This window comes from Homo sapiens, chromosome 2, assembly GCF_000001405.40.
Source record: "Homo sapiens chromosome 2, GRCh38.p14 Primary Assembly".
Classification (NCBI taxonomy): domain Eukaryota; kingdom Metazoa; phylum Chordata; class Mammalia; order Primates; family Hominidae; genus Homo; species Homo sapiens.
The window spans coordinates 213008777-213035261 of NC_000002.12; the positions used below are offsets into that span (position 1 = coordinate 213008777).

At 34.9% G+C, this 26485-nt stretch overlaps 1 protein-coding gene across 30 annotated transcripts in view, besides 1 other annotated feature; it reads right to left on the bottom strand.

The window, feature by feature from the left end:
* IKZF2 (IKAROS family zinc finger 2) overlaps window positions 1–26485 on the bottom strand; it is a 152759-nt gene that overhangs the window by 9079 nt on the left and 117195 nt on the right. For 24 of the 30 annotated variants that reach the window (NM_001371274.1, XM_011510812.4, XM_047443723.1 and 21 more), the window contains 2 exons: window positions 13217–13354; window positions 5015–5158 (listed from right to left, as the gene is read on the bottom strand). In NM_001371274.1, coding sequence (NP_001358203.1) covers window positions 5015–5158; window positions 13217–13354 — 282 coding nt within the window. The remainder of the gene's footprint in view (window positions 1–5014; window positions 5159–13216; window positions 13355–26485) is intronic. The other 6 variants (NM_001371277.1, XM_047443727.1, XM_047443725.1 and 3 more) reach the window with 1 other exon arrangement.
* Window positions 23916–24116: a silencer, noted in NCBI's record as "peak4035 fragment used in MPRA reporter construct". NCBI's record gives its function as "represses an SCP1 promoter by STARR-seq MPRAs in K562 erythroleukemia cells {active_cell/tissue: K562}" and the evidence as "EXISTENCE:reporter gene assay evidence [ECO:0000049][PMID:32103011]".

The window sequence follows — 26485 nt, forward strand, 5'->3', positions numbered from 1 at the left end:
TACAAAGATCATAAAAGTGAGAGTGATCTGGTTATAACATATGGCACCTCACTGTTGTGTAGGGTTAAGTTGGTTGATTCGGCCACTATTTCAGAAAAAATATATATAACCCATATATGTCATTCTGGAGATTTTTTAAAAGTCATTATTAAAATACTTTTAAAAGTAGTACCACCTAATAAAAATGAATGAAATGTAGGGTTATTTAAAAATAAAATTAAGAGTTATTTCAAAAAGTATTTGCTCATAAACTCGGAAAATCTTGTCTCATTGTTTTGCTTCTTGAAATTAATATTCATTTTTATATCATCCTTTCTTATTTAGACATGTGTATGTGATAGTGCTGGTACGTACACCCATTGCTAGCTTCCCATACTTTTTCTTGATTGAAGCATGTTTGCAGTTTTTCCTTAAATATACACCTCAACAAATATAATTTTACTCCAATATTTTACATCAACATAATGTCTGACTGTTAACTATAAAAGAGTTTTGGTGCTTGCAACGGGAAAAGTAGTTTTGATTTTTAGCCAGATATTGCTGGTTTTGAACAGAATATTTAGTCTTTTACAAATTCTGTCCCTAAGACAATGTGGTCTCTATTTACCAGTTACTTTCATAGGTAAATCTTACAGATAAATGCTTCTTAAAAACATATGTGGGTTTCCCATAAATGGTTAATATGTTGTTGTGGATGGATGCTTAACTTGTAATTTTGGCAGATACTCTCAGATTGGAAGAAATGGCCCCTACGTGAGATCAGTGTAATGATTAGAGTAACAAAAATGGAAACACAAAACGAGGAGAAATTATTTCATGGCACTCAACTTAAGATATATGCAATGTCAAACATTTCCAAATTAAGCTAGACAAACCTGATCTATATTCTTAAAGAACTTACAGTTTGGAAGGAACAATAGCAATTTAAGGATCATTTACAACATAGTGTGGTATGTGTGATGGGGTCAAATAAGAGGAATATTTAGCTCATACCAGGGGACTAAAGGAACACTTCTTGAAGGAAATGGAATCAAGGACAATAATGTGATTGTAAACATAGCCAAGTGAAGAAACATGAGGTGGAGTAGCTGGTAGAAAGGATCAGAGGCAAGAGGGCATCACTTATAAAGGAGGAATTACTTATACTTCAATAAGGCTGAGAGTAGAAACAAGTGCGAAAGACAAGTTAGATAATATAAGGCTAAATATGCTAAAAATTTGAATATTTCCCTAAAGGAATACAGATTGAAGGGGATAAACAAGGAAGTGCCCTGAAGGTATTCATTTAGCAAAGGGGTTTAGGAAATTGCTGCTCTAGGTTTCTGGCCTAGGAAATTTAGTAGATGACAATGAGATAGAAAAGATGATGAATTCAGTTTGGGAGGACTATGAGTAATAATAATGTCCAGTAAGTTTAGTCTCAAATTCAGAAGAGAGACCTGGGCTTGAGATGTAGAAATGAGTCATCAGTTGATAGAAAGCAACTTCTGAAGCCAAGGAAATAACTGATATCACCCAGGTAGAGTGTGAAGGGGATGGGTCAAAAATAGAACCTGGAATAACACTAAGATTTGTCTGCCTACTCATAGATCAGGGAAAGTGGGGTTTGCACTGGGCCCCATGTTTAGGGAGCCCTGGGCCTTTCTTCTCAGGAAATGAGGAGCTTCTAGGGCCAAGGGAATGTGCTGATCTGAAGCTCACTCAGACCCCAGAATTCCTTGCCCAAATGGTTCTGAGCCTGCTTCTAGGGACTACACAGTCCTCTTCATAGGGTCCATAATACTTCATACCAACTGTGCTACTGGTAAGCACACACCTAGGCCTGATGGCCAAGGCACTGGTCTTTATGTGCAATGTAAAAAGAACCTGGATATGCAGGCTGGGGTGTCCATACATGTGTGTGTGAGACCCCCTTTGGTAATGGAGAGAACTAGGAGTGGGTCTAAGAGAGGAGCCTAGCTGTAAGCCAGTGGGTGGTTCTGCTCGTGCTGCCAAGGTGTAGTGTAGAGCTACAGGAAATCTGAGAATTGCATATTTATTTGAACTTAGTCAAGTTGGAAGGGTAGAAAATAAGTTTTACAGTTAGATTTATAATATAAAAATATTTAGGCATATGAATGGGGGCCTCCATTTGTACTTTGGCCAACTTGCATAGCTGTTAAGGATAAGTCTGAAAGAATACTGAACACAGTCAGAGAGAGAGAACAATGTCATAAAAACCAAGAAAAGAGTGTGTTTCCAAAGGAATTGACTATTCAATAGTGGCAGATACTCTCTAGGAGCTGTGTAAGATACTGTCTTAAAAGAGTCTACTCGATTTGGCACTACAGAAGCTAGTTGTGACCTCAGTGAGAATAATTTTAATGGAGTGTGGGAAAGAAAAACAGGTTGCATGGACTTGGAAATGAATAGAAAAAAAAAATCATTGAAAACAAGCACAGAGATTCTTTCAACAATTTCATCTTTGAAGAAAAGGAGACTACAGGTGTACCTGGAAGGAGATGGGGCTTAAAGGAAGATTTTTTTTAATTATGAGAATTTATTGCATTAAATGCTGATAGGAAATGCCCAATAGAGGGGAGAGGTTAAAAATGTAAGTGAGAAAGAGGAAAAAATAATAGCGTGAGGTATCTGGGGGGCCAGGATAGGAGAATTCCTGTGCACAAGAGGGGGAATGAACTTTAATTAGAAAGAGGGATAGTTGTTTCATTGAAATAAGGAAAAAAGATAAAAGCATTTACATGGATGCATACAATCCTATAGAATTGGTAATATTATGTTGAAATCAGTTCCAGCGATTTTATCCCCTGTGAATATAGATATAAGATCACCAAGGAGTGAGACAGCATGTTTGCAGAGAGTACAGAAGGTTGGCACTGTCATGGTGGAGAGCAGGAGAGATGATTCTTCAGGGATGCTGCTCCATAGGATGGATAGGCCAGCTGATATTTGGGATCAGTTATTCATTCATATATATTGATGCCAACTCATCAGCCTGTGGAATTTTCTCCAAAAGTACCAGATGTGCAGGCTGGGGTGCACATCTAGTGAGATATAAGTATGGAAAGGATGCTCAGTCAGCTTTACAAGACAGTAGGGTTTCATCAGGAGAAGGGGATGATAGATCAGCCAACAAGGCAAGAAAGGCAAGAATATTGGCAAGAGAGATGTAGAAGTGATGAGCCATGGAATCTAAGCTGAATAAGAAAAGAGAGGGAGAGACAAGTAGATATGCAGGAAGTTCAGGGATCATTGGTCTGGAGAATTTGATAAGGTCAAAGAATAGTATTTAACTGAGGCACATGGAGAAGGCAATTTATAATAAGTGTGGAATGATGAAATTTTTTGTTTCAAGAACAATAACAGAAGTAGTTACTATGGCTACTGTTTGTTATATATTACTAGGATAGAATCCAAATAAAGAAAAATATTCTCTCAAATTCTTAATTAAAAATATAATATAAATATTTTAGAATCATAATGTAATTTTCTAAAAAGCTGTCCCTCTTTTCTAAGGAATGCAGTGAAATAAAATTGAGAGTAACATCTCTAAGTCAGGAAACATGACAAAAAACGTTACAAAGAGTAGACTATATAAATTCAGAAGACAGAAAGAATAATAATATATTTTATTTTTTCCAACTACATTAGAGTCTAGTTAGATTTAAGCATTTAATGACATCCAACAAAAAAATCAATATTAAAAATAAGTAAACTGGCTCTTTATTTCTTTTTTTTCATAGTTACCCACAAGAACAGAAAAAAAGTTACCAAAGGCCTGAGGCAGTCCTTTGTGTATAACTCAGGGGCTTCAACTGACATAATATAAACTATGGCCCTTATAGTCACCCTTAGGCCTTCTTTCAATGAGTTCTCAATAAATCCCTCCAGCTAGTCTTAGAGTGCTATTTTGGTGATGTGTTAGTTCTTCAATTTCAGATTGAAAGGAAACCTTCTTTAAGTGTTTATTGAAGTAATGGAATTGTGTTATCCTCTCCTCCCTGAAATAACCAAAGCAAAGATTTTTGTCTCAATCACCATTTAATCAGGATGTCCCACAATGCTGACACTAGAATGTCAGAATCTGTTTGAATATTTTTATCCTAATAGATATATATACAATGAATAACAATTCTTTAACAATTCTTTTTATTGAATCTCTATTATTCATATTTCTTTTAAAAAGTCCATGCTTTTTGTATCCTCAGAGACAATCTATGACTTACAGCATGCATCCAGAATGATGCCAACATTGGGCGTATCAAAGAATATCTAAGGGTTCGGAAATGAAAAGGGAAAGTCTAAATATATGATATTTAATCTTTTCAGTTCAAAATCATAGGCTGGATGAAAAAACAAAGATTAAAATATGAAATAAAGATCCAAATATGAAACATCTTGAATGTAGGTTGCTGCATTATTTTTCCAATGCAGAATTTTGAAAAAAAGAAAAATTATCTTCATTCCAGATAAAATACGAAAATAATTAACCCATTTATGCCTGAGGTTGAAATTTTGTTTTAATTTTTGCAATCAGACCTTGGCGATGACCTTGAGCAGTAGGATATAAATAACTCCCACATGCTTAGCGTTCCAATAATGGGACACTAGGCATAAATGTTAATAGGTTAAAAAAAAAACAGCTAAAAACCTGACACTAATGAAAATTTTAAAACAGATTACAAAACTGGCCAATAGGCTGGACCGTTTCTCTTCTGTATGACTATTTTTTAAAGAAATTAATATTTTCTATTTTACATGTTATTTCACTTTATATATCATCATATTTTGAGATGGTGACCACTATCAGTCTTTATCTCTCATATGTATTTGTGTGTGTTGGTGTAAGTGTGGTGTACACAGAATGTCAGAGAGTAAAAAAGAATAATGAAGAAAAGAGATGGGTATTTATTTCATGAACTGAAACACACCATATATATTTCTAATACATGGGAACTTGCCTTTTCCTATTAACATCACCTTGCAAAGAAACAAAAGCATTTGTAATGCTTACCCACAAACTTTTGTGGAGTGGAGCTTTTACGTTTTCCCATATTCCCCGTGAGCTTCTCTATGACAGCAGGTCTCTCAAAAGGCACCAGAGAAATATTGTTGTCCATAATAGGCTCTTGTTCCTTACAATCTTCCATAGGAGGTACTATACAAAACCATAGAAAAATGCAATCTGATAATTTCTTCAACATTTTGGATGATACAAAGCTGGATATGCCATCTCGATATGTGTTATAAAAGCTAGTATGCTTCAGTAGAAGCAAGTAGAAAGAATACCCTCTAGTGTGAAAGTATACTCTTTAAATTTGCACACACACATATACACCAGAGGATTTGTTTTTATTTGAGTCTCTCTTAAATCCATGACATACATACACTGTTGCCACTATTGGTGGCAAACTTGTTCATGTGGTTTCTCATCTTATTCCCCTGAAAGTGTTTTTAGCATTGACTAAAATCAATACTACTTTTAAGACTGCACTATTTTCAAGGCTTTTAGAGTTTATTTTTAAAAAACAATTTAAGTAAGTCAACTTGTTTGAGAGAAAAGCTTAAACAGACATACAAAATAACAGCACGGTATTTAACTGTTTTTCTTAACCCATGTATTTTCCTGCAGCGTATTTTCTATTTGATGAGCTGTTAGCCTTATTGGCAGTAGCTTAAATACCTGCACCAAGCAGCCCTCATGAAGAAGAGCCAATTCTGAACATGTCTATGCACAGTAAACTGTGGCAGCTTTATGATTGTAATTTATTTTAAAAAGAGCTCTTCAGCAGGAAGAAGAATCCATTTCTAAATTGGCACATTGGCTCACTAAACTACTGCCCTAATTCATTTGACATATACTCTCCAATGCTGTTCCCTATTCATCCCTTTTTTCTAAGTTGCTATGGACTAATCTGTTAGCCCTTAGACACTGACATTCATAGTGCAGACAAAGAACTTAAAACAGTTGTTTTTTGAGTAGAAATACTGCCCAAGGATGTTTAATTAAGGATAGGGTAACAACTCAGACAAGGCGAATCAGTTGATTAAAAACAGTGTTCTCAGGAAAGAACATAACTTATTACTTGTTGTTTATTGTTGCTTTCTCCAGTTGCACTTGTGCCAGTACTGTTTGGAAACCTAAAGCTTTCATTTCTTAGAATAACTTTACTTGTTCAGTATGCCCTGTAAAAATGATTTACTCTGATCCTTTCATTTGTATAAGATAGTCCCACTGTGTACAAAAAAATGTAGTCTCATTTATAAGGGGATCCTCTTGGCAGACACAAAAATAAGTGAGAAAGCAAGAGATGAAAGGTAGGAAAATTCAGTGCACAATTCAGTTGATGTATTTAATAACCAATAGGTTACCAATTTTGAAGAAAATGAAACATAGTGTGAAAAAATGTTTTCATGATTTGGACATGTTTAAAGAAATCAACATTCCATCCAAGTTTTGATTAACCTATAGATGGGTCAAAAAAATTGAATTGTAATCTACATTTAATAAGAAGTCCTCTGGCTATGAATAGCAAGGGATTGTGCAATTATTAGATGTTAATTTGGAAAAAAGTTTCAAGGTGAGACTGAGGAACAAGGAAACAGATCATTGTCTGCACTATATCATTAATGATGTTATCACATTGAAAAAGTATGTCCCAAGATATTATGTATAAAACATTATATTCTCTTTTAGTAACAACTAAAAAAGTGACACAAAAGTAAAAGAGTCAACAAAAAAGCAAAGAATTTCAAAAACATTCAAGGATGACCAATTCACGTAAGGGGAGTCAGAAGAATGGCACAGTGGTGGTGGTGTGGTGGAGAACCAGGTAATGAGATACAAATTGTGGTCAAAATCTTAACTTTTTGTTTGGATGATGGATTTACAAGCACTTACTACATTATTAGAAATAACAATAAAACTAAAAAGCAGTCCAAGTATGGACCAAAGATGAAAATATGTCAGACCAAGATCCAAAATGAAAGAATTTGGCAAGAAAAAAAAAATGTTGTTGTAAATTTTGCTAAAAAACTAGCAAAACTGGTTAACGGGTTTGCCCCCAAAATTAAATATGCTAATTTGTTCTGAAATGAGTAGTCCAAAACCTGGCAGTTTTGCTCTAAGTTTCACCCTGAATTTTCATATTTGAACGCATTTAACACTCAAAACGAAACCTGGGTGTGGGAACTGTCCCACACCACATCCACCTCAATTCAGATGATTTGTCCCGAGTTCAATGAAGCTCATGTGAACTGAAAATGATGATTTTGGCAGAGTTCTGATCTAATTTCTACTTTACAATAGCCCTTTTCATGTCAAAAATTGATCTTGTTTCTACCACATCGGCAATAATAATAACTGACGTATACTATGTGCTGTGTGCTGTTTTAAGGCTTTGCATTTAATAATTAATTTAATTCATCCAGAAACTCCATGAAATAGGTGTAATACCATCTTCACTGTACAGATGAGAACAGAAAGACCCAGAGATGTTAAGTAATTTCCTCAGGGTTTACATCTAGTTAGTAGAGAATGTTATTACTACTAGGAGTCTGGCTCCAGAGCCTGGCTCAACCATTACGCTATACTACTCTTTGTAGAGGTATTTTGAGCATTGACTTTTTGTAAACCAGTCAGACATATTTGTAAGGTCTGCCATTGGGTAAAGACCTGATACATTTTTCCTTAATTATGTAACCAATCTGATTTTGTTTTGCTTCATGGATCTGGGTGCAACTCATCAAAATATTTCTGTGTATACATTGCTAGAAACATAAAACAAATTCTCTAGATATCTCAATAATGCATTAATCACATAGACATTAATCTGGGCTAAAGATATACCAATAAGGTAACTTCCCCTGTTTGAACAAACTTTATAACCAAACATCCTCTTTGACCTTATATTTGAGGTTATAACCAAGATAAAAACATAATTCCATTAGATCACTGTTTCATCACGTTGATAACCATAACGGCAAAACCATAAGTGTATTCCCAATGTATTCTTTTGAAAAACCAAACAGTTCACCCAAATTCAAATTCCAAGTCTGAGGGACCTAGGTTAGATCACATGTCTAGCTCCTGAGCAGGAGAGGGCAGAGTACCTGGACTGAGGGTCCCACCACAGCTACATGCAACAGGAAAGTTCTCTAAAGGTAAATGGGCACTCTTGTTATCAAGAGAAGGAGGAAGGGATGTCAGGCAGGCAAAAACAACAGATGTCTTCTATATTGTTGCAAATTTTCTCCGTGTTACCCGATCTAAAAAAAAAACTTTACAGTTATCTTAGTTATTTTCTTGACAGCATTTGGCAGTGCTGACACTTGCTTTGGCTTCTGTGAAATCACTCTTTCCATGTTCCTACTCTGCTCTTACTCATCTTCATGAAATTTTTTTCCTGCTAGTGTGTTCTTGGCCTTCTTGATGTCTCACTCTGTACTTATCCGTATTGCCTTATTAAAAACTACTACGTTGGGCCACTACATAAATTATGATGGATCCTGCATCTTTGTTTCCTACTCAGACCCCTCTCAAGAGCTTGAGATCTATATATTTAACATCTTCCTAGACAGTTTTATTTGCCTATTTCATGGAGACATAAAAGAATATAGTAAAAGAAGTAAAATCTCCATTTACCTTTCTTTCTTCTATTTTCCTAATTACCATATCACTGAATGACACTACTAATTACCATATCACTGAATGACACTACTATTTACTCCATCAGCCATGCTGGTCACCTGTGGAAAATCCTAGATTTCTTCCTTTCATCCAGTCTTCTGCCTCTCCTCCTCCCTACCACATCTCTTTACAAACACACATGGAGGTACCCCAAGTGTTTTAGATGCTACATTGGTAGTTGTTCACATATGTTGTTCTTTCTGCAGGAAACACCCTTCTCCATTTATTAGTTCACATTTTTGCTTTTTAAAACTAAGCTCAATCCCGGGAAATTCCTCTTGGATGTTCTGCTGATTTAGGTATGTCCTCTCTGTCTCCATAATGCTTATCACATAGTACTATAATTGTTGTTTTACTGGTCTATCTTCCAATAGCTGGTAAATAACCTCAGGGGTTGCATTCTGTTGTATTTGTGTCTCTAATACCTTTTATGATACAAGAGAGATATAATATTCAATGGATGTTCACTGAATGATGTCACCCAATAGAAATAAGTCAAAAAAGCTTATTCCAAAGTTTGGGGGTGCCCAATAATGCCTCTATACTGTGAAAAAGAACCTCCCTTTCCTAAACAATTCAAAGCATAAACCTAACAATATATATAGATTTTAAGCTGGCTATCCTTCTGCTTTGCACTTTCATTTTTGTCTTTAGGTTTAGGTAAAACAGGTAATAACATAGTTTGATTTTAAAGCTTTTCCTTCAAGCTAAGCAGACTTGAAAAAGCAACATAAAGATAATATTGAACAAGATAATCTGCCATAAAACCTAATTAAATAAGATAAATAATCTGCCCTAAAACCCAATAAAATAAATAAGCTCATCAAACCCAATTAAATAATTTAATTATATAAATAATCTGTCATAAAACTCAATTATTATTTCCAAAACTATGAGTCATGATATTCCTCCTTTTTCCTCAAACTCAATCAACTTTTCTAAGACCATTTTATTCTACCTCCTAAATATGTCTTCAATATTTCACCTTGTTCTCTTCTGCAGTTGCCTCTTCATCTTTTTCTTTTTGGCATTGTCATTTCCAGTCTCTCCTCACACCATACCCCCTGCCCCAGGTAGGCATTTATCATGTATCCTCATTGGAGACATTTTTCTTGATTTGATTACCTCATTAATAACAAATTTGGTTACCCTAGTGGCCCCCCATCAGTTACACAATGAAATTCAAACACTAGCTTAGCAGAGAAGACTCTGTCTTTGCATCACAACCTACTAATTCAGAAGCTTCATTTCCTACCACTCCTTAAACTGCAGTTACACTCAACATCAGGGAAGCTGTTAATTATCTTTTATATCTCCAAGCCTCTTTTTCTCCTTGAATATACATTCTCTGTATCCTGCCTGATATATGCAATTTTTACTCATCCCTCATGTTTGGATTGAACACTCCTGCATGTAAGAAGCCTCTCTTGACTTTTCCAGAGTTAGGTTAATTCTACATCTATGTTCCCAGAGAACTGTGTATGCATCCTTATTAGAGCTTTTGTTTCATTTTATTTTATTTTTTTAAAGTATGTATTTCCTACCAGACTATAAAGTAAGTGTATTAAAAGACTGGGTCCATTTATTTTTATACCCCAGAATGTTCTATATAACTTGGCACATAGTAAGCTCTTGATAAATGTTTTCTGAGTAAAGTGAAAATGCCTCTTTTCCTTTAAAAAATTCCATACTAGAAGAACAACACAGGGAAAAACATGTTTTAGAAAAGAAAGACTAGGAAATATAACTATGTCAGATATTTTTTAAAAACAAGTAATAGTTAAATCATTTCATGGAGCTAATGGCAACCAAAATGACAGCAACTCTCATATCTACCACAAAAAAGGAAAACAAATAAATAACATACAGCAAGAGAAGGGAATAGATATAAGTTTCATCATGGTTCTGTTTAAAAAGAGACATATGCCAAGCTATTTATATGAGACGTATGTTAATGATGAACTCTAGCAGCATTTTACAGAACCATGTTTTTCTCTTACAGTATTTATCAACTCCTACCTCGTATGGCCAATTTCCCATTAGGCATGTTAACAACAGATAGAGGAGATTAAGGATAATCTCAAATTATTGTTATAACAAACCCAGAAAAAGTATGGTATGAAATGGCATGAATGTAAACTTATGTGGTTAAAATGATATCCAGTATTTAAGAATATTTGTTTCTATAAATGGTATCAGAAGCTACCCTCAATCCCTTCTCCTCTTTGGTTTTACCCTCTGCTCTACCTACCCAGTGCCCCTACCCCTTTCCCACTTTCCCCCACTTGGTTCCAGCTTCAGCACCACCTGTAAAGGGCCTGTGCCTACGGAGGGCTAAGCAATCTGGGGAATAGGGGGTAAGACTGAGGCCCCAGTTGTTTAGGGGACATATCTTTGCTTCTCTCAAAATATACTTGTTTAAATTTTTCGTTAGCATTTGATTCTCTAAAAGTTCAATCTGCCAACAGATAATTCAATGTTGATTATAATAATTTATTTACATTTTACCTCCCTATTACCATATAGTCTTTTAGGAGTATGTATGCAATACAGAATTCCATAAATAACTAGGAATGCAAAAATAATAAATAAAGTTGGAAATGCATAACGCCATCAAATGTCAGAACTGCAATGGGAGAATATAATATAGAAAAACTAGTAGCAATGCCATAAGGTGTTTTGGGGAAGATTTGGTATTCCCCCAAGCTTCCATCAGCTTCCAGCCTCAATTTACCCTTAAATCCATCAATTTAAATAGTAACAGTGTATTTGGTCAGCAAATGAAACTTCTAATGCTTAAGTTACTGCTGGTAAATAACAAATTTATAGGGAATAGCACATTTACTGTTATTCAGTTATTTAATGTTCTCAAATGTTAACAGTAAAGCAAACCATTTATTGGGCATTTATTACATATCCAGTCACATTTAATCCTCAAACCCAGCCTATGAGTGACACACCCAGACACGAAGTAGCCAGAGCAGGTTTGGCAGACTCCGAGACGCACCATTTTGTAATCTCTATGTTCCAGATCCTATGCTATCATCATCAGCCCAGGTAATGCAAGCTTGAAATATCAAATTTACCAAGACTTGATACACAGATAGGTTTGTAAAAAATGTTAATGATGATAATATAAAAATAAATGGACTTGATCACAAATCAATAGAATTAGATTCTTTAGATTATAGAAACTAGAAGGAAATGCTTCAGTTGTTCAGGATAACAAGAAAATTTTAAATTAAAAAAATTCCCAACTCAACAACACATAATCACTAGCTGTCCAACAAACACAGTTCCATAGTATATACTCTATAAAACAAACAGAAAACCCCAGAAATAATCCTTGACCTGGCTATGTATAAGCCAATACATAGATATTTATATTTTAAAAGTGACTGTCGCAATCCCCAACTATACCATTTAATACTGGGCAAACCTTTTTTAAATAAAAGATATACAAGTGGCCAGGTGCAATGGTTCACACCTGTAATCCCAGAACTTTGGGAAGGCAAGGCGGGCAGCTCACCTGAGGTCAGGAGTTTGAGACCAGCCTGGCCAACATGGCGAAACCCCGTCTCTACTAAAAATACAAAAACTAGCCAGGCCTGGTGGTACATGCCTGTAATCCCAGTTACTTGGCAGGCTGAAGCAGGAGAATCGCTTGAACCGGGGAGGCAGAGGTTGTGGTGAGCTGAGATCGTGCCACTGCACTCCAGCCTGGGTGGCAAAGTGAGAGTCCATCTCAAAAAAAATAAAATAAAATAAAAAATAATTTAAAAAAATAAATAAAAGATATACATGTACTAATAAGTTGAGATTTTTGTCTTTGTATAAATAAAACTTATCAGTAGACAAATCTAATTAGTAAGACAAGATAGACATTACAAATCTTAAGAACTGAAATTCATTATTTTCCTATATAAGGCTGATTATTAAAATTAACTTTTCAGGAACAGAGAATTATTCATTGATAAACCTTAGGGATTGCCTTCCTACCTGCCGTAGTGTATTTAGAGATCAGGATGTTTTGCTTGGAGAATGTTTTTTGTGGAGAGAGATGGTGTCTAATGTTGGTCTAGATTGTTTTGCACATTGTAGAAAGCAAAATCAGTAATTTCTCATAAAAATTAAAGGGCCGATTGGAGAAATTTCAAATTATATGACTGATCACTTACCTGAGATGAAAATATTCAAATAACCAATTCATTCTTTTAGGCAGCCTACAGACTAATGTGGAATCAGCTCTAACTATCTGGTTAGAAAAATGAAAAAGAAGAGTAAATAGTACCTTCCTTTGGTATATGAAAGGTTGGTTGTCATTATTATGCTAATTCAAACATTATCAGAAATAATTTGGGAGTATTGCAAAATTTCAATACAGATTATTTGCAATGTATCCCAAAGCTCAACTCATTTAAGTTAAAGTGATCTAAAATAGTTTTAAACAGCATAAGATTTTATCTTCATGTTGAACTACAAAAGCAGTAGGGGGAAATAAAAATGATGAATCCAGTTTCTACCCACCATGGTGACTCATGACCTGCCCAGCAGCCTCCATGCTGACATTCTGGAGATAGTTGTGGCAGCGTTCCTTGTGCTCCTCCAGTGAACTGCGCTGCTTGTAGCTTCGTCCACAGTAGTTGCACTTGTGAGGTTTACCCACTGTGAAGAGAACTCAAGGTCAGTGTGCTGTTAGTCTCATCAACATTCAAAGCAAAATCAATAGCTAACTTTTGATAGTCTGGAGGAAGCACTCATATAATTTTCAGACTTAAATCTCTTCCTCCTTTACATTCCAATTTTGGTAAGAAAAGATAATACATTTCTACCAAGACAAAGACAAGAAGACAGGTGGATCGTACCTCTGGCAACAGGGGAAATACTGAATCAAATTCTTGCTCTGACTGTATTCTAGACCTTGAGGGCCTGGTGATCAGTCTTCAAATTATCTCACTCTTAATACACTGACTCTCAGCTTTGACTCATTCAAGACAAATCAGGAGTATCCTAGATACATCAAGAGTTGTGGTTTTTTTTTGTTTGTTTTCTTTTCGGGTAAGGGCAGAGAATTTTACAGAAGAAAACTTAAAATGCAACAACTTGAAATGTCACAGTTTAATAAAGAGATTATTCTTGGGTACCAAGAAGATTAAAAAGAACTCAAGTGGTGAGAAAAAGTACAGATGAAAGTAGAGTTTCCTTTCCTTTCACCTTGGTAACAACTATTCACACATGCAAAATTTTGTGGCAGGTAAGTATATTCTCCCTCATCAGCTTTTATAATACCAAGAATTAACCTACTAGGTGCTTTGAGTCAGGATTATTACACAATATGTAGTTACAAAATGACAGTAATATTTTCCAAAACATCTCACATTAAGGAAATGAATTATTCCCTAATAGCTAGGGAGCCATTATCTCAGTGTCATTATCTCAATACATCTGTTAAAATACTAAGATGTTCAGTTAAAAAAAACCTTAAAAAACAAAGAAGAAAAATATAATCTCTATGGAAAGAAGCATGTTTTAATGCATGACTCTTCATAAGGACATCACAGAGCACTTTGACTCTTGGTTTTGAATGAATACAGAACAACATAAAACCCCAGGTGGTCTGTGCCAAAGCCCTCAATAGTAAAGCACCGTGTGATCCAGGCCCGTGTCTCTATTTGACTCCCAGAGGAATTATTTAGTTTTGCTCAGAGAATAACAGACAACTCTTTTTCATGACCAAAGATAGCATCCCTAACTCCAGTTAACTTATAAACCCATGCTATGACACTGGTCACAAGAGGAACTGAAATACTATAACAAGGCAAGGTATTCATGGCTGCCTGAAAGTTTCACTGTACTGATGAAAAAGAAAGCTACACCAAACCTTTAGATTGTAATTGAGGTACACATAAATTAAGATCAGTTATTTCATAATCATAATTGTTTGTAAACTATCATAAAAGTTATTTATGGAGTGATTATTCATTTTTTTAAAAATGCTTGGCAAACCAGCTTCTATTTTTTGGAACCATGGATTTCTGGGAAGTAGCTGAGAATACTGTGCAGAACTTGTATCACCATGTGACAGCATTAAAAATACAAAAAATAAGTTTTGCTGAAATCATCTAGTGTAAATACTATAAATAAATTTACATGTAATTATGTTCCAAGATATGGGACTACATAACAAAAAGTATCTGTTTACTATTAGCATTACTCAGTTTTGGGTTCTTCTGTAATATTTCTCTAGAAATAGTAATGAATTTATACTGAACAAGTTTATTAACCAATTAATACTTATTAAGCACTTACATTGAAGCTAATAGCCCGCTGTAAACTACTTCAGTCATTTCCGGGTCTTCCCTGGTATTAGTCCCATCACATTATGATGCCTCTGTTGTACTATGAGCATATTCTCCTATACTTTCTTCCCCTTATTTCTGTAAGCAATCATTATACCTTCTCAATTTAATTGAAACATGGTTTTTCATTCTATTCCCCTTGGCTCACAACCCTCTAAAAGTCCCAACTCACCTGATAAGAAGGAAGAGACATGTAGTTTTTATGTTTTCTACTCACTTTTTACTACTCTCATTACTATCCCATCTGCTTTATTTCAGCTTCTCCCATTTTGTCCTCTATTTTAAAGCATCACTCCTTCCTCTTCATCCCATCATTGAGTCCAACAGGGATCTGAGTTGGGCTTTGTTCTAAATGTATAACCCTAATTTTCCCAACTCTTCATCTCCATTCTATTCCAGCAACCCAATTATTAGGTGACATGTTGGATTTGGACATTTCTTAAAACTATTCTATTTCCAATAAATTTGCTCTGGAGACAATCTATCCTTTTACCTCTCTCATTCATTCAATAACAGACTACTATGTACCAATGCTCATGAGGCTAAAATGTAAAGTGGAAAACAAATTCCCATGGTGCCTATCCGTATGCAACTGACAGTCTGGTGAGGCAGACAGACATTTAAAAAATACACAAGCAATGTATTACAAATTGTGGGCAGTTGCATGGAGCAAAAGAATGGTGGTGTAGTATAACATGGGGAAACTAGTTTGAAAAGGTTGAACAAGAAGGTCTGTTTGAAGTAGGAACATTTCAGGTGACAACTGAAGAAAAAGTAGTCATTATATAATTGGGGAGTGAGGGTGGAAAGGCAGGATTTCAGGATTTCTGAGACCTGTAGTCATTTATTTTCCTCTATATACTTAGCTCCTTCAAAGTCTACATTCTGCCCTTACTACTCCTTTGAAAATTGTTTTCAGACATTGCCAACAATCCCTGCAAATTCAATGGCTCTGCTATCTCCACAAGACCATTTTCTATCCATTTCATACTATTTCTTAAAAATAAAGTTCATAAAAATATTGTTTATACTTACTCCCTATACATGTGTTTATCTGTACATGAGTTTATCTTTAAAGTAATACATAATTAATACATATAACATATATATTCATATAAAAGGACCAATATTTCACTACCTTTATTTTTATAATAGTTATTATTATTATTACTTCATATTGTTACCAACTGAAGCGGACTTTTTCTGCTATTATTGAAACATTTTTGAAAAGTCAGTGGTCTCTGAATCACTAAATCCATAGGCTTTTATTAATCCTCTGTCTTCCTAATCTCTTGGCCACTATCAAGCTTTCTTGTGTCTTGGGTCTCCTGTTTTAGCGTCTGAGATCAGATCCTACATTCGCCCTCACTGCTTCTCAGTTTTTTCCTAACTTGCAAATATGTTATATGCATCCCTTCAGATATTGTTCTCAGTACAATGTTCTCCCTCTTTGCTCTCTAAATGAAGTGCTCATTTTTATGAAACATCCACATCAGGTCAAGAATAATTTCCCATGTTTGTAAGCTCCAACTGGCCATGTACATCTTTCAATGTCTGAGTGAATCCCTTCCCTACAACCAAAACGAAGAGCATCAGGACATAGCTGTCTCCTCTGCTCTCACAGAACTCTGTTCGTACTCTGTTGATGCATTACTTATAACAACTGTGTTGTAATTAACCATCGGATACCTATTTATTTCCCTAGTCCAAACGATGAGCTTCATGAGGAGAGAGATCTTGTTTTACTCAATTTTAAATTGATAATACATATCGAGTTATTAAACACAGGAGACAATATATATTTGCTGAATGACTACTTCAAATCCATACTTGCAACTGCCTTTTGAGTCTTGCCTCATGGATATTCCCCCAAAACCAAATCAAACATTCAAGATACCCAAAACTATCTTCCTCCACAAAACTCCCTCTTTGTTCTGACTGCCCTTCTTTGCTAGTGTTACCACTGTTCTAATACTCAAGATTCACAACAATGCACCCACTTCTGTTACCTTCTACCTCTTTTCCTACTTCCAAATAGCTGCTAAATTCTATATACTGGACTCGTAAAATGATTCTCAAGTTGATCCCTTCTTTTCATTCTCACAATCAACGTCCTAGTTCAGGCCTTCATTATTGCTCACCTGGGCCTGGCATAATAGACTTCAAATAGGCTTTCTCTTCCCGTGTGTAATTATTTTATTCCTCTCTCCAACAACTTTCAATAACTGTTAAGTTTTATTGAACTAAGTTGAAATCCCTTTACCTGGCATTCAGCACCCTATACCATCTGGTCCCAAAGCACACATCCCACTCCTACCCCAGGCCCCAGTCAAAATTACTTTACACCTACACTTCTGAGTTTTGTTTGTTGCTGTAATTGCCTCACATGATTTCTACCTCTTGAAATCCTCCACATCCCTCCACTTCCAACCTCCTTAACTCTGTTCCATTTTAACGTGATCTTTCTCACTAAAGAACTATTCCTGTATTGACCCTCATGCTTAGAACACTTCCAACACTCTATCATTCTATCTTATATTATCTGTGACTTTTATACTGGTATTTACACACTAATTTTCATCTCCATGTTAGATCTTGACCTTTTTGAGAAATTATAACAATATCTTATGTGTCTTTGTAACTTCCGAAGAGTTTAGCAGGGTGCTTTGCTCATAGAAAGAACTAATAAGTGGAGTTTTTATGAATGATATAATTTCCAAACTCTTTAAATAGCTTTTTCTCATTAGTTTTTCTTAAATCTCTTTCTAATTTCAAATGTAAAATATTCATATAAAATTTTTTTAATCACCAGTAAAATCCATAATTATATCATTTAGAAATAACTGTCTTTGGTATTTCTGTATTATCCTCTTGCATTTTTTTAATGCATGCAAAGATAAATTTTGGTATGAAAATGAGTTATTTTATACACTGTTATTTTATAACCTGCTTATTTTACTGAACAATATATTTTGAACATTTCCCCATTATTATGAAATGATATTTTTGTTGCTGCTGTTAGGTAACACTTTCTCCCAGATTCTAGATTTATGGTAATGCTGAATTATTCAGTTTGCTCAGCATTCTGAGTCCTTTTCTTTTATTACGTTAATGATTATTTTTCTTTTTACCATAGTTAGATATGCCCATAAAAAAAATCAAATAGTCCCAAGTGGCATTTAATGAAATACATAGTCTCTTCCCCATGCTGCCCTACCTGCCCCCAAGCAATCTAATCAAAATCCCAAAAAGCAACCATTTTCAGCTCCTTCTTTTGGTGATTATATTCATATTTCTAAATAATATGTGGGTTATTTTTATTCATCAGGTTTAGAGATAATCTATTGCTTCTCTGTCCTGGTAGTTAAGGATTCAGCTCTCTTACAAACACCCTCTCAATTCTCACTTCTGTGGTCTTTCAATAGTTACATAATCATTTCTGATTAATAGTATAGAAATGGAAATTTCCAGTAGTCATAGAAATATTAATCATAACATACTATTTGGCTCAACAGTGATTACATTTCCTTTTTTGTGCAGCTTTTAATTTTTCCTAGAGTTAATAATCGTCTCACTTTTTATTTTGCTTGTGTTTCTGTATCCAGTGCCACTTACCCCTTCCTCTGAGGTTCTCACACCTTACTGATAACTCAGAGTCCAGAACAATGTCATAGGTCCTTGCCAGTCTCACTTTCCTCTTGCCTTCTCACAACCATTGGCACCCCTTTCTCCAGTTGGAACTGATGGTACCCTGGGTTTATTACAGAGTTGTTATCCAGAACTTTCCTTTGTCCCCCTCATGATTAGTCTTCTGCTGCCTGAATCCCATGTTTTCCTCTTCGTTGGGTTTAGAATTTCCAGGTTGAAACTCATTTTCTCTTAACATTTTGAAGCCTTTTTTTCACTGGGCTACTAACCTCCAAAGTTTCTTTTTAAAAGTATTATATAAATATAGCTTTATATGTGGCCTGTTTGTCTGAAAGCTCTTAGTAACTTCAGTTTGTCCTTGATGTTCTGAAATTCTGAAATATGAGCGTATGTCTCTGGTCTAAAGTCTCTAATTTGGATGTTTGTCCCTTACCTCTCAAGAAATATGTGTCTGTACTATATATAATAAGTATATACTAGTTCACATATTGCAGAATATTTACATATATACAGATAAAACAAATAAATATGTGTTTAACATCGATTCACATAATTACTATAGTTGTCAAAAGTCTATGGCTATTTCAACTTAATTTTTATATATGGCATAAGAGTCTTAGACCATTTTTTTCAAAAATATGGGTATTCAGTTGTTCTAGACCCATTTATAGAAAATATTATCCTTTCCCCCCTTAAATTATCTCAGTACCTTTGTTGAAAATCAACTGACCAATTTGGGTTCTATTTCTGGACTCTATTCCATTCCATTAACCTCTATGTCTATACTTAAACCAACAGAGCAAGTCTTAGGAATAGATTTGGAATCAGGCAGTGCAAGTCATCCAAATTTGGCTTTTCAAAATTATTTTGGCTATTTTAGGTCTACATTTCCAAACAAAGTTTGTAATCAGTTTGCCAATTTCTGTTAAAAAGCTTGTTGGGATTTTGACTGAAATTGCCCTGAACTGACAGACTCGATTTCAGGAGAAACCAACATCTTAACAATACTGAATCTTTTAAATCATGATAATGTCTCATCTCTGCATTTATTGAAGTCTTTAATTTATCTCAGCAATGTGTTATGATTTTACGTACACAGTTCTTACACATATTACTTAATTTAACTCTAAGTATTTCATACATTTTGGGATGTTATAATCAATGGCATTGCTTTCTAAATTCCAATGTCCAACTGTTCATTCCTAGCATATAGAAATACATTTGATTTAATCTCAGTATGTCAAAGAAATATTTGCATTACCATGTTTATTACATCATTTCACAATAGCCAAGATATGGCATCAACCTAAGTGTCCATATTTTCTTATTACACTCATCAAATGATAACCATCATGATGAGGAAGTTCTTTTCTACTCAGTTGCAGAGAATTTTTATAATATGTGAAAGCTGAATTATGTCAAATACTTTTTCTGAAACTTTAAAGACAGACTAAAATCTTTTCTTTTTTAGTCTGTTAATATGGAAAATTACATTGTGATGTTTTTTCACCCAATGTTAAACCAACTTTAAATTCCTAAGATAAATCCCACTTGGTCATGATATATTATCCTTTTTATATATTCCAGATTCAATGTGTTAAAATTTTAAGGACTTTTGCATCTGCATCATGAAGAATACCGTTATGCAGTATTTTTTTCTTGTAATGTCTTTGATTTTGGTGTCAGAGTAATGCTGAATATAATAATTTGTTTGGAGGCCTCCCTCCTCCCTTTTCTATTGTCTGGAGGAATTTGTTCCTTTAGTGTTTTTCTTAAATTACATTTTCCTTAAATATTTGACAGAATTTACCAGTGAAGTCATCTGGAGTTTTCTTTGTGGGAAGGTTTTTAACTTCAATTTCAATTCCTGGAATAAATGTGGGCTATTCAGAGTGTATATTTCTTCCTGAATGAGAGTCAATAATTTCTATTTTTTATTTCATCTAGCTGAATTTGACATAAAGTTGTTCAAAATATCCCCATATTATGCCTCCAATGGCTACAGGATTTTTAGTGATTTCCGGTTTTTATTCTAGATGATGCCAAATTATGTGTTCTTTTAATATTGATTGATCTTGCTAGAGGTTTATCTATTTTATTGATCTTCTCATATAATCAGTCTTCGATTTCACTTACTAATGGTATGCCCAACAAGGCATACCATCCCATTAGTAAGTAACTGTGGCCATCTAAGATGAAAAAACAAAACAAAACCCTGTTTTGGGTTTCAATTTATATATTATAATTTTCCCAAATGGATAAAAAGTTGTTAGGGCACAAATCATTATTAAGTTGTTTGGACCTTACTACTTAATAAAATGAAACTTTTCAGTATTACTTTTAGCCCTAAATGAACTTTGACAAAATTATTAAGACACTACAGTCACAATGAACCAAGAAAGTTTGGGAAACACTGAGCTAGGTAATAAAATGTAATTTGTATTTCTTTTACACTTGCATTAGTGAAACGAAATATTAAACAAAAAAATCATTAGACATTTGTTTGCTGTCCTTTCAAATGATCTATTTCATGCCTTCACCTATTTTTAAATTATGGTCTTACTGCTTTTGTCTTTCTGAATAAATTGATCAGAAATTGATCTCTGTATATATTAACGCCTTTGACTTATTTCTTGACTTACCTATTTGACTTATGCTTTTTTTGAGGTTTAGAGGTTTTACATTTTCTTGTGGTCAAAATTGTTGGTAGTTTCCCACGTTGTGATTTCTTTACTGTTTTAAGTTTTAAAATTCTGCCTGATATGGAATTTTTTAGAAATATCCACACCTACTTTTTTTTTCTAAATCTTTAGAAGTCTTAATGACTCTAGGTTTATTTTTTTAATGAAATGATTAAGTGGGAAAAGAATATTTTAGAAAGGAAACAGATCTCTACCTGAAAAGTGAGATATCTTTCAAAGAGAATCTCTTTATATGAAATCATTTCAGGATAATTAGGTGTCTGTCAAAAATCATTACAGTAAAATAACTTTTATCTCTCTAAGGACAGTTTACTAAAGTAGTTGAGGGTGGGGGGATGAATGTTAAATGTTTAAACAAGTCTGTGAGACAGTATATTTAATGCAGATTTCTTAGAGATTTACAATGTATATGAGCATTATCAGAGGTTCTTTTGGATGTTTAGCTTCAATAACAAAAAAGCAAACAGACAAAACTTATTTAACCCAACGTTTTCCAAAAAAACTAAATATAGTACAATTTTTTATTTTAGCAACTATTAATTTCGCAAGTAAATATTTTTTTGTGAACATACTGTGAAGAACACTGCATTATGACAATAAAAGAGGCAAAAAAAAAGCCAGCATTAGTACTATTTTTCTTTTTTTTTTTTTTTTGTTTGGTGAGATGGAGTCTCGCTCTGTCGCCCAGACTGGAGGGCAGGAGTGCACTGGTGCCACCTCGGATCACTGCAACCTCCACCTCCTGGGTTCAAATGATTCTCCAGCCTCAGCCTCCTGAGTAGCTGGGACTACAGGCACGTGCCACCACGTCTGGCTAATTTTTGTATTTTTAGTAGAGACGGGGTTTCACCACGTTGGCCAGGCTGGTCTTGAACTCCTGACCTCAAGTGATCCGCCCGCCTCAGCCTCCCAAAGTGCTGGGATTACAGGCGTGTGCCACTGCGCCAGGCTGTGTTAATACTGTTTACTCTTCTTTAACAGGATGTGCCAGGTGTTGAGCAAAGACATCTAGTTCCTTTAACATAAATTTCTTGAGCACCTCCAGTATTCCATGTCCACGTTCTAGGTGCTGTAGATACAGCACTGAACGAGACAAATGTCATTCCTGCATCCACAGAGCTAACATTATTAACCATCCAAATATTGCCATTTGTTTTATAATGTAATAACAATGTTCAAAGTAAACTGAAAATCTTATACAGGACACAAACACCAGGAAAAATTGTATATAAAAAAGTATGTATGGGACCTTTAAAGTAAAATCACAGACATTTGAAAGCAAAAGAAAACTGCTTTTTATTGTTTTGGGCACTCTGGAAGAAAAATAGTCACAATTCAAACAAGAAAATGTCTTATGTAAGATTATTTTTATAAGAGTCTAAGTTGTTGGCATCTACTTTTCTATCACTTTAAGTTAACACATTTCCTCAGATTTCTTGAACTTAACACCTAAAATAAGGAAGCAAAATGGGACGAAGCAAAATATACATTGTAACATATTTTGGCAGTGTAACAGTTATGCTTCCCCAGCATTTCCTTACCACATAAAATATTTTATTGCTTATTTTGAACATTGCTAATAAAATAATTAAACAATAAATGGAAGTAGATGCTTAATCTCTCTAAATTTTTACACTTCTGTTAAAAATATATACATATCAATTGTTTATTCATACAACATGTATTTACCAGCTGCCTAAAATGTGGCATATATAATCATAATAATAAACATTATATTCAAAAACCATTTAACCCCTAGGGATGCTCACTTCTTTCACTGTAAGTGTAACATAAGTCATTTAACAGATTGGTTGATGAATTTAGGAAAAAGAGCTAGAGAAAGTATAAAGGTGCAAAAAGTTTTAATGTGGCCAGGAGATGGTACAGTAAAATCTAAGACACAAGGGAAACAGCAGATATATTTGATACTGTTTCATTATTACAAATGTGCAAAATATTCATTATGGGGAATAAAAAGTAAACAGAAAGGCTAGTAAGAATTTACTAGGCATACAGATTAAATGAATAATCCAAATTATATAGACTCTTCCTTTTAATGAGATTTCAATTAATCAAACCACTGGCATATCTTGGAGATATTGCAGGTTGAGTTCCACCCCATCACAATAAAGAATATATCCTGATAAAGTGGGTCACTCAGATAGAAGTTATGTTTATATCATACCATAATCTATTAAGTGTGCAACAGAATTGTGTATAAAAACAATGTATATACCTTAATTTTAAAAATACTTTGCTGCTAAAAAATGCTAAAGAGGCCAGGTGCAGTGGCTCACACCTGTAATACAAGCACTTTGGGAAGTGGAGGCAGGAGGATCACTAAAGCCCAGGAGTTCTAGACCAGCCTGGGCAACATGATGAAATCTCATCTCTATAAACAATACAAAACTAGCAAAATTAGCCAGGGTGTGGTAGCATGCACCAGTGGTCCCAGTTACTCGGGAGGCTGAGAGGCTGAGGTGGGAGGATCACTTGAGCCCAGACAGTCAAGGCTACAGTCAGTTGTGATTGCACCACTGCACTGCACATACATACACATACACTGTAAAGATAATCTGAGCCTTCAGACTCATCATCTTTCCACTGGTGGAGGAGGGTGTTGCCTTGATGTCGATGGCTACTGATTGATAAGGCTGGTGGTTGTTGAAGGCTGGGATGGATGTGGCAATTCCTTAACATAAGGCAACAATGAAGTTTGCCACATCAGTCAACACTTCCTTTCACAAAGGACTTCTCTGTAGCATGTGATGCTATTTGATACGATTTTACCCAGAGTAGAATTTCTTTCAAAATTGGATTCAACTCTCTCAAACTCTGCTACTGCTTTGTCAACTAAGTTTATGTAATATTCCAAATCCTCTGTTGTCATTTCAACAATATTCACAGGATCTACACTAGAAGATTCGATCTCAAGAAACCACTTTCTTTGCCCATTGTAAGAAGCAACTCTTCATCCATTCACATTTTATAACGAGACTGCAGTAATTCAGTCACATCTTCAGGCTCCACTTCTAACTCTAGTTATGTTGCTGTTTCTATCACATCTGCAGTTCCTTTATCCACTGAAGTCCTGAACCTCCTGAAAGTCATCCATGAGGTTGAAATCAACTTTTTCCCAACTCCTGTTAATATCTTGACCTTCTCAGATGAATCACAAATGTTCTCAATGACATCTAGAATTCTGAATCCTTTCCAGAAGGTTTTCAGTTTACTTTGCCCACATCCATCATAGAAATCACTGTCTATGGCACCTCTAGCCTTATAAAATGTATGTCTTAAGTAATAAGACTTGAAAGTTTAAATTAACCCTTGAGCGTGGGCTGAAGAATATATGCTGTATTAACAGCCATGAAAACAACATTAATCTGCTTGTACATCTCCATCAGAAGTTTTGGGTGACAAGGTACATTGTCAATGAACTGTAATATTTTGAAAGGAATTTTTGTTTCTGAGCAGTGTCTAAACAATAGGCTTATTCACTAAACCATATTGTAAACAAATGTGCTGTCACCCAGACTTTGCTGTTCCATTTATAGAGCACAGGCAGAGTAGATATAGCATAATTCTTAAGGACCTTAGAATTTTTGGAATGGTCAATGAGCATTGGCTACAACTTTAAGTCACCAGCTGCATTGTCCTACCAAGAGAGTCAGCCTGTCCTTTGAAGCTTTTAACCCAGGCACTGACTTCTCCTCTCTAGATGGCCTCTTCTTCTAATAGAAGGCTGTTTTGTCTACACTGAAACTCTGCCATTTATCACAACCACCTTCATTAATTAGCTTAGCTAGTTCTTCTGGATGAATTACTGTAGCCTCTACATCAGCACTTGCTGCCTCACCTTGCACTTTTATGTTATAGAGATGGCTTCTTTCCTTAAACCTCATGAACCAACCTCTGCTAGCTTCCAACTTTTCTTCTGCAGTTTCCTCACATCTCGTGGCCTTCAGAAAATTGAATATTGTTAGGGTCTTCCTCAGGATTAGGCTTTGATTTAAGAGAATGTTGTGGCTGGTTTGATCTTCTATCCAGACCACTGAAACTTTCTCCATAATCAGAAGTAAGGCAGTTTTGCTTTCTTATCACTTGTGTGTTCACTGGAGTAGCATTTTAAATTTTCTTCAATAACATTTCCTTTGCATTCACAATGTGGCTGTTTGGCACAGGAGGCCTATCTTTTGGCATGTTTTGCCTGTTGACATACCTTCCTCACTAAGCCTCATCATTTCTAGCTTTTGATTTAAAGTGAGAAATGTGAGTCTTCCTTTAACTTGAACACTTAGAGGCCATTGTACAGTTATTAAGTGGCCTAATTTCAGTATTTTTGCATTTCAGGAATATAGAGGCCAGGTGAGGGACAGAGGGACAGAGAAACTGGCCAGTTGGTGAAGCAGTCAGAGCTTACACAACATTTATCAACACAAAAATTCAAGTTTGCCAGCCTGTATAGGTGTGGTTCGTGGTATCCTAAAACAGTTATAATAATAACAAGAAAGATCACAGATCACAAAACAGACATAATAATGAGCAAATGTGAAATATTGCAAGAATTATTTAAATGTGACAGAGAGACATGAGGTGAGCATGTGTCATTGGAAAAATGGTATCAACCGACTTGCTTGGAATTAGGGTTACCACAAACTTTCAATTTGTAAAAAACGCAGTTATCTGTGAAGTGCAATAAAGTAAGGCACAATAAAGGAAGTTATGCTTGTATTTCCTTTCATCTGACTTTCTATATTACAAGAACTCAGGCTTATGAGTAAGCAAATAATTTGGATAGCAAACAGCTCCCAAAATAATCAATTCAGAAGCAAATAGCTTGCTCTAACTTATGGAATATTCATATAAAGAATATGTATTTGTATATCCAGAATGTGGTTTCTTACTTGGATCTCAAATTCTAACCCTAATGCCAGTTGTGTGTGAAGCCTAGGTTACGTTAAATTAGGAAATAGTTGTACCTAACTCACAGCATTTCTGTGAGTATATATTTTTTTTAATCCATATGGAAAACTCAAGGTACTTAACACACAATAAATGATCAATAAGTGGAAAATCTTTTTTTT